This window comes from Homo sapiens, chromosome 2 (assembly GCF_000001405.40).
Source record: "Homo sapiens chromosome 2, GRCh38.p14 Primary Assembly".
Lineage (NCBI taxonomy): Eukaryota > Metazoa > Chordata > Mammalia > Primates > Hominidae > Homo > Homo sapiens.
In genome coordinates this window covers 53204281-53217695 of record NC_000002.12, presented here as the reverse complement: position 1 = coordinate 53217695, position 13415 = coordinate 53204281, and the positions used below count along the sequence as shown (strand labels likewise).

General features: G+C 38.3%; 1 long non-coding RNA gene across 3 annotated transcripts in view, besides 1 other annotated feature; it reads left to right on the top strand.

Moving 5' to 3' along the window:
• Positions 354 to 855: an enhancer, noted in NCBI's record as "H3K27ac hESC enhancer chr2:53443979-53444480 (GRCh37/hg19 assembly coordinates)". NCBI's record gives its function as "activates a minimal SCP1, AML or CMV promoter by ChIP-STARR-seq in naive H9 embryonic stem cells {active_cell/tissue: H9 hESC(naive)}" and the evidence as "EXISTENCE:reporter gene assay evidence [ECO:0000049][PMID:30033119]".
• The window catches only part of LOC105369165 (uncharacterized), a 486292-nt gene continuing 481605 nt past the window's right edge, over positions 8729 to 13415 (top strand). For all 3 annotated transcript variants that reach the window (NR_187747.1, NR_187748.1, NR_187750.1), the window contains exon 1: positions 8729 to 8776. This is a non-coding gene — a long non-coding RNA (uncharacterized LOC105369165). The remainder of the gene's footprint in view (positions 8777 to 13415) is intronic.

Sequence of the window (13415 nt, the reverse complement as noted above, 5' to 3'; positions counted from 1 at the left end):
GAGCCCTCACCCCACAACCAAGGGAGGTGGTCAGTGAGTGTGCTACCCAGCCTGGGAAATGGTGCTTCTTTCTATGGAACTGTGTAACCCATGAATTGAAAGATCCCACTAGTGGGCCCACATCACCAGGGCCTAGGGTCCCAATCGTGGAGCTATGCAGATTCTCAACAGCCACTTGGCTAGAATCTGCCTAACCCTGCCAAGTTCCTGGGAGGAGGGGCAGCCAACCACCACAGCTGCAGCTGCCTACTGTCTAAGCCATCTGAGCTCCTTAGGGGAGTGGCAGCAGCAAACACTAGGGTTGCTAGCTGCCTAACACACTAAGCTACCAGGTGGGGAGGAGGGCAGCATCCATCTCTATACCTCTAGGCCACGCTTTCCCCTGCTGAAGCCAGGGAGACTAAATGGCTTAGTCCCAAGAGGTATTCCACACAGTCCAACACTGGCTGTGGCAGACTGCAGCCAGGGTACCTCTTCAAGCTGAACCCTGACCCATTCCTTCTCACTGGGTGGGGCTTCCCTGTAGGAATTCCAACAACTCCAGCCAGGGGCTCAGGGATAGAACTCTGATCTCCCTGGGCCTGGGCCCCTAAGGGGAGGGGTGCCTGTAGACTCCACTGACTGCAGACTTAGTCTTTCCTCTTGCTAGCTCTGAAGAATTCATGAAGCCCAGACAAGTGGGTTTTCCCCTAGTGCAGCACACCCCCTTCACCAAGGGACAGCCAAAGAGCTTCATTAAACTGGTCCTGCTTCCTGTGTCACCCAACTGGGTGAGACCTCCCCAACAGGGGTTGTCAGACACCTTATACAGGAGCATTCCTATTGGCATCAGGTCAGTGCCCCTCAAGGTCAGAGATCCCAGAAGAAGGAACAGGCACCCATCTTTGCTGTTCTCCAGCCTCCTCAAGTGGCATCTCCAGGCATGGGGGTGAACCAGATGAATAGAGCCTGAAGTGAACCCCCAGCAAACCACAGCAGCCCTACAGAAGACAGACCTGACTATTCAAAAAACAAACGAACAAACAGAAAGCAACAAAATCAGCATCAAAAAAAGTCCCCACAAAAACCTCACTGAAGGGTCAGATTGAAACTAGACAAACTCATGAAGATGAGAAAGAATCAACAAAATCCACTGAAACTCCAAAAGGCCAGAGTGCCTCTTCTTCTCCAAATCATTGCAACACTTTTCCAGCAAGGGTGCAGAATGGGATGGAGGATGAGATGGATGAATTGACAGAAATAGGCTTCAGGAGGTGGGTAATAGCAAACTCCACCGAGGTAAAGGAGCATGTTCTGACCCAATGCAAAGAAGCTAAGAACCTTGATAAAAGGTTACAAGAGCTGCTAACTAGAATAACCAGTTTAGAGAGGAACATAAATGACCTTATGAGCTGTAAAACACAGCACAAGAACTTCATGAAGCATGCACAACTATCAATAGCTGAATAGATCAAGTGGAAGAAAGAATATCAGAGATTGAAGACCATCTTGCTAAAATAAGGTATGCAGATAAGATTAAAGGGAATGAAAAAGAATGGACAAAACCTCTGAGAAATATGGGACTGTGTAAAAATATTGAACTTATGATTGATTAGAGTACCTGAAAGAGATGGGGAGAATGAAACCAAGCTGGAAAACACACTTAAGGATATTATCCAGGAGAACTACCCCAACCTAGCAAGACAGGCCAACATTCAAATTCAGGAAACGCAGAGAACACCAGTAAGATACTCCACAAGAAGGTCAACCCCAAGACACATGATCATCAGATTCTCCAAGGTCAGTATGAAGGAAAAAATGTTAAGGGCAGCCAGAGAGTAAGGCCATGTCACCTACAAAGGGAAGCCCATCAGACTAACAGCAGATCACTCAGCAGAAACCCTACAAGCCAGAAGAGACTGGGGGCCAATATTCAACATTCTTAAAGAAAAGAATTTTCAACCCAGTATTTCATATCCAGCCAAACTAAGCTTCATAAGTGAAGGAGAAATAAAATCCTTTCCAGACAAGCAAATGCTGAGGGATGTCATCACCACCAGGCCTGCCTTGCAAGAGCTACTGCAAGAAGCACTAAATATGGAAAGGAAAAACTGGTACCAGCCACTGCAAAAAACAGACTGGAATATAAAGACCAGTGACACTGTGAAGAAACTTCATCAACTAACATGCAAAATAACCAGCTAGCATCATGATGAGAGGATCAAATTCACACATAACAATATTAACCTTAAATGTAAATAGGCTAAATGCCCCAATTAAAAGACACAGACTGGCAAATCGGATAGAGTCAAGACCCACTGGTGTGCTGTATTCAAGAGACCCATCTCACGTGCAAAGATATAGGCTCAAAGGGATGGAAGAAAATTTACCAAGAAAATGGAAAGCAAAAAAAAGCAGGGGTTGCAATCCTAGTCTCTGATAAAACAGACTTTAAACCAACAAAGATAAAAAAAGACAAAGAAGAGCGTTACACAATGGTAAAGGGATCGATTCAACAAGAACTAACTATCCTAAATAGATATGCACCCAATACAGGAGCACTCAGATTCATAAAACAAGTTCTTAGAGACCTACAAAGAGACTTAGACTCCCACACAATAGTAGTGGGACTCCCACACAGTAGTAGTGGGAGACTTTAATACCCCATTGTCAATATTAGACAGATCAATGAGAGAGAAAATTAACAAGGATATTCAGAACTTGAACTCAGCTCTGGATCAAGTATACCTAATAGATACCTACAAAACTCCCCACCCCAAAACACAAAATATATATTCTTCTCAGTGCCACATGGCACTTATTCTAAAATTGACCACATAATTGGAAGTAAAACACTCTTCATCAAATACAAAAGAACGGAAATCATAACAAACAGTCTCTCAGATCACAGTGCAATCAAATTAGAACTCAGGATTAAGAAGCTCAGTCAAAACCACACAACTACGTGGAAAATTGAACAATCTGCTCCTAAATGACTTCTGGGTAAATAATGAAATTAAGGCAGAAATCAAGAAGTTCTTTCAAACCAATGAGAACAAAGACACAATGTACCAGAATCTCTGGGATGCAGCTAAAGCAGTGTTAAGAGGGAAGTATATAGCACTGATGCCCACATCAGAAAGCTAGAAAGATCTAAAATTGACACCCTAACATCACAATTAAAAGAACGAGAGAAGCAAGAGCAAACAAATCTGAAAGCTAGCAGAATACAAGAAATAACTAAGATCAGAGCAGAGCTGAAGGAGATAGAGACACAAAACCTCTTCAAAAAATCAGTGAATCCAGGAGCTGTTTGTTTGAAAAAATTAACAAAATAGACCACTAGCTAAGAAGAAAAGAGAGAAGAATCAAATAGACACAATAAAAAATGATAAAGTGGACACTTCTCAAAAGAAGACATTTATGTAGTCAACAAACATGAGAAAAATCTCAACATCACTGATCATTAGAGAAATGCAAATCAAAACCACAATGAGATACCGTCTCACACCAGTCAGAATGGTGATTATCAAAAAGTCAAGAAACAATAGATGCTGGTGAGACTGTGGAGAAATAGGAACACATTAACACTGTTGGTGGGAATGTAAATTAGTTCAACCATTGTGGAAGACAGTGTGGCGATTCCTCAGGGGTCTAGAACCAGAAATACCATTTGATCCAGCAATCCCATTACTGGGTATATACCCAAAGGAATATAAATCATTCTACTATAAAGATACATGCACACGTATGTTTATTGTAGCACTATTTACAATGGCAAAGACATGGAACCAACCCAAATTCCCATCAATGATAGACTGGGTAAAGAAAATGTGGTACAGATATGCCATGGAATACTATGCAGCCATGAAAAGGAATGAGATCATGTCCTTTGCAGGGACATGGACGAAACTGGATGCCATCATCCTCAGTGAACTAACACAGGAACAGAAAACCATACACCATGTGTTCTCACTCATAAGTGTGAGTTGAACAATGAGAATACATGGACACAGGGAGGGGAACAACAGACCCTGTGGCCTCTTGGGGGGTGCAAGGGGAAGGAGTGCATCAGGACAAATAGGTAATGCATGCGGGGCTTAAAACCTAGGTGACAGGTTGATAGGTACAGCAAACCAACATGGCACACACATACCTATATAGCAAACTTGCATGTTGTGCTCGTGCACCACAGAACTTCAAGTAAAATAAAAATTTTAAAATTGTTTGCCACCATTGAAAATGACTATTAAGTCAACTTACCCTAAAAATTGGCAGTCGAAGAGAAAGAATTATACATGTAGTCTGCTTGTTAGTGGGAAAAATAGTTCTGGCAAACCAAATAGCCCAATTCATGAGGGAAAGTTTTCTCTACATATGAATGTTAGCTAATAAATACAGAGGAATGGTAGAATTTTAAAAATACACACAAATAAAATCTAATTATTTATATGTATTTGTGCCTGTGTATATTTCCTATTGTTAGAAAAATATAGGAAATATATAAATATATATAAAATTTCCTTTATATTCCTACATATAGGAAATTCATATATGTATAGTAAATATATATAATTCCTTCATATATAATCCTTTCGTATATAGTTACTGCAAGAAAGAAGTCTTTTATTTAACAGTCATTTAAGGACTTAATATGTGTGTTTCATAAATGCTGAATGTTTAATATTTGTATTATTTTTTCAAGCTAGATCATTTTAAGTAAGAGTTATGAATGCCATTAAATCATAATTCAGAACTGGAAGGACCCAAAGAAGTCATTTGGTTGACTCCCTTCTCTGTGTGCCATCTCATTTTATAAATAGGAATCACTTCATACACATTTATAACATGAATGCTTTTTGGCCCATCAGTAGCTAAGGAAGGAAAAATTCACAAACATCTAAAAAGCTAAACAATTATTCTAATATATGAAAGTTCAGCTTATGTTGCAAAATATCTGGCACTTCTTTCAGTTATTTGTTTTTAAGCTTCAGAAAATTAAGACACACAGATGGCCAATATGGATCATTATGAATTTTGTCTTTTTCTTTCTTTCTTTTTTTTTCTGAATTGATGTTTCCTCTAGGTTAATGTCAGACTTGCTCTGAGTAGCTGAGGCAGTAGTTCGGAGACCAGGGCATAAAAGTGCCCTCTCCACTCAATAACCAGCAAACTAATTTGATGTTTCTATTGACTTGAATCTTTCTGCTTTCTATCTTGAACCTATGAGCGTGTGACCTCTTCTGCAGAGATCTGTGGCTTCTGGGCATTTTGTAAAGTGCCGAAATTGCCTAGAAAACTACTCTCTGTGCTTTGCAAAATAATGGAAAGAGTATTTCCTATCTGCTTCTTGCAGCAATCCCCCAATAATAAATTCAAAATGTGTTTTAATTTTATTTCAGTTTAGTTTTGGAGAACCATCTTCAGGTATTTAGGTTTTTAACTATTATTCCTTATCTGTCATTAAAAAAAATTCACTTTTTTCTCCGCTGTAATTTCTTTCCCACTCTACTTCCTAACAAACAGCTCCTTATTTTCCTGTATTACTCTATTTTTTTTTAAACAAAATGGAAATACAAAAGATAATATTTGGCCAGCATCTCAATCTTGAAACTCTATCCATTTCCTAATGTGTTTAGCAACCAGGCAATTAAGAAACAGGCCTTGTCTTTAATCATCTCAGAAAATTAGAGAGATTTTTCTCATGGTTAAATTGCATTTCTGAAAACAATTGAGACAGCTTTTTTGGTAATTTTGCAAAACTTGTTTTTCCTTGAGCTTTTGTGTATACATTAATCATTTAATAATTAAAAAATTTCAATTTTCCCTTTTTCCTTCTCTTTTCTTAACCTTTATTGTCCTTTTGAAATGTTGTCAGGGCTAACATGAGCTCTTTTGGTGTATAGCCAAGTATACTTCTGTTTTAGCTATTTAAATAACAACACATGCTTCTAAGTTTCTGGAGTAATTTAGTAGTTTTTTCCTTGATTCTCACAGCAGCAGGCTTTACCTGGAAGCCTTGAACCACTTTCTGGTTATATTTATTTCCCCAGGTCCTGGGTCTTTACAGACAGCAAGAAGTCTAAAATGGCTTAGAGAAGTAATAACCTTTGTCCTGGGATTTGCACACATGTTTGCAAGGACATTTATTTCTGATTCCCTGACTGACCTCTGAGACCTCAGAACTTACCAATTTGAATCAATTGGCTCTGTTGGATGTCTTACCTAACTGAACTCCCTGCCCAAACCCCTTCTGCTACCCCTATCCTTGTACTTCCTATGTTTGTTTTTGCTAAGCCAGCACAGTATGTTCATTTCTGTATCCTCTAACATAAGATCTCACCTAGACTGGGGACTTGGTAAATGTTCCTGAATGATAGCATTGGCTGCAGAACACAGTGAGTTGCTATTGAGGTGAGTTGGAAAGGCTAGGTTGTTGAGATTTTGTAAAGAATCCTAATGTGAGAAGCCAAAAAGGGTGAAGTGGGTACCCGTGATATTTTCCTGTATGTTTCGTCTCTTCTTCCTCTTCTGTATTTACTTACATTGAGCTTAAGTGAGTGTTGGTCAGTGTAGGACTGGAAATAGATCATTCCTCTGAATCACACTCTTATTGACTATCCAATCTTTCCAGTTTCTATCCTTTATTCTCCTTTCTCAATGATATGAATCCTAAATGTGGAGGAGACTCTTATTCCCCTCACTTTAAAGATCTAGGAAAATATCTACTGATCCTGGGATAGAAGGAGAAATTTGGGTTATGAGAAGTACAAAGCACAATGAAGACGTATGAAATATTCAAATAAATCTAAGCTGCTTTGGTGGGATAAAATGATTTAGTGGGATCAAGAGATAATAAACATAGGTTGTGCCTTCAGTCAGCAGGACTGATAGGGAAGCAATGAGAGAGGTAAGGGAAATGAGCTGTAGATTGAGATGCCTCAGTACACTCAGTTCCTGACTACCAGCATCTGCTCCGTTGTAAGAGTGCCTTTGGGAAAGCCACAAGGGGGCTTTCTCCAATACTCGAGTCACCAGTTGCCTTAGAAATAAGCTTTTGTTCCTGTTCTGCTATTGTCACAGGCTTCTTTATAAAAACATATATGCACTTTGTTGACTGGTCAGATGATGGACATAACTCTGCCCTTCTGTAACAAATGAGCATCCCTCTGCAAGATTCTTTCAGGAGCCAGGAACTGTCTTTCTCTTTATACTTTCGACTTAAATGCATCATATGAATTCATGTAGCTGCTTTAAGATAGAGACTTGTTTTATTTTTCTTCTTTTCTTTTCTGCACCTTATCTTGTGCTAGCCTTAGTCTGGGAGAATGAAAACCCTAGGGGCATTTGGGAGCTTCTGCAGCCCAGACAGCAGGGCCCTGAAGAGCTCTCTCGTTTCCATGTTTTCATGTCCTTTCAAAATGTCAGTTAGCACCTTTAAAATAAAGTCTGCCATCAAAGACACACACTCTTTTCCTGCCTGTCTGGTGTGCCAAAGATAGACATTACTCTGTCTGCTTCAGTTCTCAGCTTTCTGTCATGTTTGGCAAAAACTTAATTGCCTCTCCTTTCAGAACAACTTTTATTTGTTTTCTTAGACTCAACATCTCCTCTAACGGAGCCCCTTTTTCTTTTTTTTTCTTTCTTTTTTTTTTTTTGCAGCAGGGGAATGTAGACAGCTTTTGTTTCTGCTGCTTCATGATTAGCTTCCCAATGTCCTTTAAAATAAAATTTTGTGCCCAGAAAAGATGCCACAGGACCCAGGCAGTATTCGTTTATTCAAGGGTGACAGTTCACAGAGGGAGCCAGGTTTACTCAGGTTTAACTTGGGGGTGTGTCTCCATTGTAGACAGCAGCATTTCTTTACTGCCATCTAGTACATGATGTCATATGCTACCTTGGCAAATTGAACTAAATATTAATAATAATACTCCCTCTCACTGGGCTTCTTTCATCCCAAACTTACGTTCCTTCTCTTTAGAAGGTTCTTGCCCTGCCTCCGGATGATTTTGTAGTAACCCTTCTAAACCTGGCTCAAATGTCATGTGGAATTAATATTGCTTTCCTCTCTTTTGCCTTAGCACTTCTCACATATATTGAGTATAGTACTGCAGTGTAATAGAGCATGGTAGTATGACTAATTGTACATGTGCCTTACAGCTTAGCATTCCCATTCTCTTCACCCAAGACTCTGAGATGCTTAAGGTTAGGGATGGTGTCTCTGACCTTATTCATTCTCAAATACTGAACATGTATACCAGGGTTTGACATATAGTGGTCACTTAAAAGACATTTATTAAATGAATGAGGAAAGGCGACTGGGATTTTTGCACATAGGTCTCACAGTTCATGCTGCCCTCAAATATTACACTATTAGATGCAAGTATTTACACAGGACCAAAGGTTGAAGGAAAAAGAAAAGTGTTGAGAGAGTAAGGAAAGGGTGACTAGCTGTCTGCTTTGGAGTTCAGTGTAAGGAGTTATATAATATCTTGAGATTCACAAAAAAGAGAATGCTAAGGTTTTACAGCTGAGGACACAGGAGAAAATGTATTTGGAGCGTAACATGATACACCTATGTGAACAAGTAAATATTCTGAGAAGGTAATAAGAGTGCAGGCTTTTCTGGTGAAAGGTTTAGAAGCAGGGGCGAAGACACTGCCACTGGTCTATAAATAGAAAGGAGGTGTGAATGAGAGTGTAGAAAGCCACTCGGGGGAAATAAAAAACATCTGGAGAAGCAGCAACTAGCACTGGGACTATCTGAAGTCTCTGGAAGAAGCTGCAGGAAATCCAGGTGAGAGATGAACTGTGCATAGACCTTGTTGTTAACACTCTCCTGGAAAAAAGAAGAAGATCATTTCTGAGTTGGTGACACGGGCATGTCTCTCTCACCATTATCCGATGACACCGTGTATTTTGTCAGGAGAAGCTTTTTCAGGGGAAAGCAGGTGGCTTGAGTTTTAATTCCTCTTTTCTCACACATTATCTCTATGACCTGGGGGAAGGCACTAACCCCCCCTGGGTCTCAGGTGATTTATCTATAATATGGTAATAATGGCGTTTTATCCGCCTGAAGGTGAAGGATTGTGCTGAATGATTTATTGAGCTCTTTAGCTACTGTAAAATCTATTCTATTTCCCTGGAAACTTTACATTGTGTCAGCTGATGTGGATTTTCTTAAACGTCTATGTTTATTTTATTGTCAAGGTTCATGATAGATAGTTGTCACATAGGCCAGATAGGCCCTGTGACTGTAAGCATGCCCACCTTGGAAAAGACTTTTTGTTTGTAGTATTGAAAATCTGCATTTAAGCCAGATAGGCTTTATATTTTAATAAGAGGGTCAAATGTTAAAAGTAGATTTTTCCGTAAGATCTGAGTTGTATAGGGCTGAATGATACTTGAATATTATGTAGCAATGGAATTGTCAGACAAGTAAAATTTTCTTTAAGAGGTCTTGGCACTGATGAGCTTGTCAAAGAAAGGTCTAGATTTCTGAAGAATTAGAGCTTCTAGAAGGTTAAATAAAACGTTTAAAAAACAACTTTATTTTTTCAGCAGAAAAAAATTCCGTTTAATAAGGTAAATAATCCTTTCCATTTCCATCCTCTGAGCAATGAATAAACACAACCATGCTGTTTAAAAAAATATATATATATTTCTAATTATAAAATAGTGTACATACTTATTGTAAGAAAAATGAAAATAAAAGCCTAAAGAAGAATAATTAATGTCACTCTCCAGCAATAATCGTTGTGAATATTAACATCTCTCTTTCAATATATCTAGCTATATCTATTTTTTTCTCTCTGTCTTGTGTGTGCATGTGTATGGGATCACACACATATATAATATGTCTGCACACACGTATACATATATGAGTATGTGTATCATTTTATAACTTGCTTTATTATTTAATAGTTTATCATTTCAGAGTCATTCAAATTGCTTTCAACCTTGAGGGAAAAATGCAAACAACAAAGAAAATAACATAAGGAAAGAGCATACGGAAAAACTAAAATCATCCTTTACGTTACCTTTCTCATTCAGAGTTCTGCTCTCCATGGATAACTGCTTTCAACAATTTTAGTTTTAGGTACTCTAATTAATGTACTTGAGGATCTTTTTTTATGTTTTTCAAAAACTTTTAAGCTCAGGTGTACACGTGCAGGTTTCTTACATAGGTAAATGTGTGTCATGGAGGTTTGTTGTACAGATTATTTCATCACCTAGGTATTAACCCTAGCACCCATTAGTTATTTTTCCTTATCCTCTCCCTCCTTCCACTCCCCACCCTCCAATAAGCCCCAGTGTGTGTTGTTTCCATCTATGTGTCCGTGTGTTTTCATCATTTAGCTTCCACTTATAAGTGAGAACATGTGGTATTTGGTTTTCTGTTCCTGTGTTAGTTTGTTAAGGATAGTGGCCTCAAGCTCCATCCATGTCCCTGTTAAGGACATGATTTCATTCTATTTTATTGCTGCATAGTATCCCATGTTATGTGTGTACTACATTTTCTTTATTCAGTCTACCACTGATGGGCATTTAGGTTGACTCCATGTCTTTGCTATTGTGAATACTGCTGCAATGAACATACATATGCATGTGTCTTTATAATAGAACAGTTTATGTTCCCTTGGGTATGTACCCAGTAATGAGATTTCTTGGTCAAGTGGTATTTCTTTCTTTAGGTATTTGAGAAATCACCATACTGTCTTCCACAATGGTCGAACTAATTTACACTCCCACCTACAGTGTATAAGCATTCCTTTTTCTCCACAACCTTGCCAGCATCTGTTATTTTTTGACTTTTTAATAATCGCCATTCTGACTGGCGTGAGATGTTATCTCATTGTGGTTTTGATTTGCATTTCTCTAATGATGGATGACATTGAGCTTTTTTTCATAGGATTATTGGCCGCATGTATGTCTTGAGAAGTGTCTGTTCATGTCCTTTGCCACTTTTTAATGGGCTTGTTTTTTTCTTGTAAATTAAGTTCCTTATGGATGCTGGATATTAGACCTTTGTCAGATGCATAGTTTGCCAAATTTTTCTCCTATTCTGTAAGTTGCCTGTTTACTCTGTTGATAGTTTCTTTTGCTGTGCAGAAGCTCTTTAGTTTAATCTGATGTCATTTGTCAATTTTTGTTTTTGTTGCAAATGCTTTTGGCATCTTTGTCATGAAATCTTTTCCTGTGCCCACGTCCTGAATGGTATTGTCTAGGTTGTCTTCCAGGGATTTTATAGTTTTGGGTTTTACATTTAAGTCTTTAACCCATCTGGAGTTAATTTTTGTATATTGTGTAAGGCAGGAGTCCAGTTTCAATTTTCTGCATATGGCTAGCCTGTTATCCCAGCACCATTTATTGCATAGGGAGTCCATTCCCCATTGTTTGTTTTTGTCAGGTTTGTCAAAGATCAGATAGTTGTACTACACTACTTTCTGGCTGGGCTTTTGTTATTTTGGATAAATGACTTAACTTCTCTGTGCCTCCATTTCTCTATATGTAAAATGCCCATAAAATAATGCCTACCTGATAGTGTTGTTATGAGCATTAAATATGTGAGTACTTGTAATGTCTTCAGAGCAATGCATGGCACTTAGTAAGTGCTCAGTAATATTATTTCTTGGAGAGCCCAGTACTGTGAATAAATGTGTATCACTAAACTTGTGCTGCTAAAGGGAGAATGCTGTAGGAATCAAATTCAAATAGTTTTTCTTCTATGCATGCCACCAATTATTCAAAATCATGCCATATATTAGATACTGGTTTACTTGAAATGTGGATTGTGAGTTTTTTTGTGCAACTTTTTGTTTTGCCTGCAATTTATAATTGTTTTTCATCTTGGCTGTTAGCAAAAGAGAGAAATTGCCTCATATGGTTAACCTCCTCCAGAAGTATATTTATTAATTTAAATAGAGATTTGAAAATACAGCAGCAACTAAGAAAGGCTTTCTTTTTGTTGATGATTGAATGTGATTTGATGTATATTTTCAGACTCCCATGAGCCTTTTAAGAATCAGATTTGATTCTCTGCCTGGCTTCAAAGAGCAGCTCAATGTGGCAATCACAAGGAATATTGGCTGTGTTTTCTATGGTACATTTTCTCACTTTCATTATTCTGGTTTAATGCATAGAACTGGCTGGCTGTGACCCTGACTTCTCAAGGGTTTTCTTACTGTGGAAAACTTCTTGGAGAAATAAACCGAGTGGCCTTTTGCATCTTCAGTTTCTTACTCTCTAGCACTTTATTCAAGCCTAGGCTCCTGGACTTAATTTTGGAGTTGTTCAAATAGTCTTAGTGACCTTCTTCTCTGAAAAGAGCTGTGCAGGAGTGCCTTATTCAGAGGCATCCACATTAAACAGTTCAGCATATCTGCAGTTTGTGGAGTGTCTGAGGGAGAAATGAAAGATGATTCTGGATGGGTAGATTGTAGGGGACAGGGGGCTCATGGAGCATATAGAACAATTTACCAAGGAATTTAATATTCATTCTGTGCTATAGGAAATCATTGAGGTAATTTTGGTAAAAAGAGTTCCATGATCAGATTTGCATTTCAGAAGAAAAATCTTTGGTGGAAGTTTTGAAGAAGATTACAAGAAGAGACTGGAGAGGAAGAGAACTGATGAAGGCTGTTTAATTTAAAATTTTTAATAGTAGAAATTTAACATCAAAACATTTCTTAAAATTTTATTTTGTTTTAGGTTTGGAGGTACATGTGCTGGCTTGTGACATGGATATATTTTGTAATGGTGGGGATTCTAATGTACCTGTCAGCAAAATAGTGAACGTTGTACCCAAAAGGTCAATTTTTAACCCTCACTCCTTTCCTACCTCTTCCCCCTTTTGGAGTCCCCAGTGTTTATTATTCCTGTCTTTGTGTCCATGTGTATCCATTGTTTAGCTTCCACTTATAAGTGAGAACACACAGTATTTGATTTTCTGCTTCTGAGTTATTTCGCTTAGGATATTGGCCTCCATGTTGTTGCAAAGGACATGATTTCATTCTTTTTTATGACTGCATAATATTCTATGGTGTATATACACTGCATTTTCTTTATCCAATCAGTGGTTGATGGATAGTTAGGTTACTTTGTTATTGTGAATAGTGCTGCTATAAACCTACAACTGCAGGTGTCTTTTTTATATAAAGATTTCTTTTCCTTTGGGTAGATACCCAATAGTGGGATTGTTGAGTCAAAGGGTAGCTCTATTTTTTAATCCTTTGAGAAATCTCCATACTCTTTTCCATAGCGGTTGTTCCAATTTACATTCCCACCAACAGTGTATAAGCATTCCCTTTTCTCTGCACCGTCACCAACATCTGTTGTTTTTTGACTGTTCTAGCGATTCTGACTGGTGTAAAATGATATCTCATAGTGGTTTTAATTTGCATTTCTCTGATGATTAGTGATGTTGAGCATTCTTT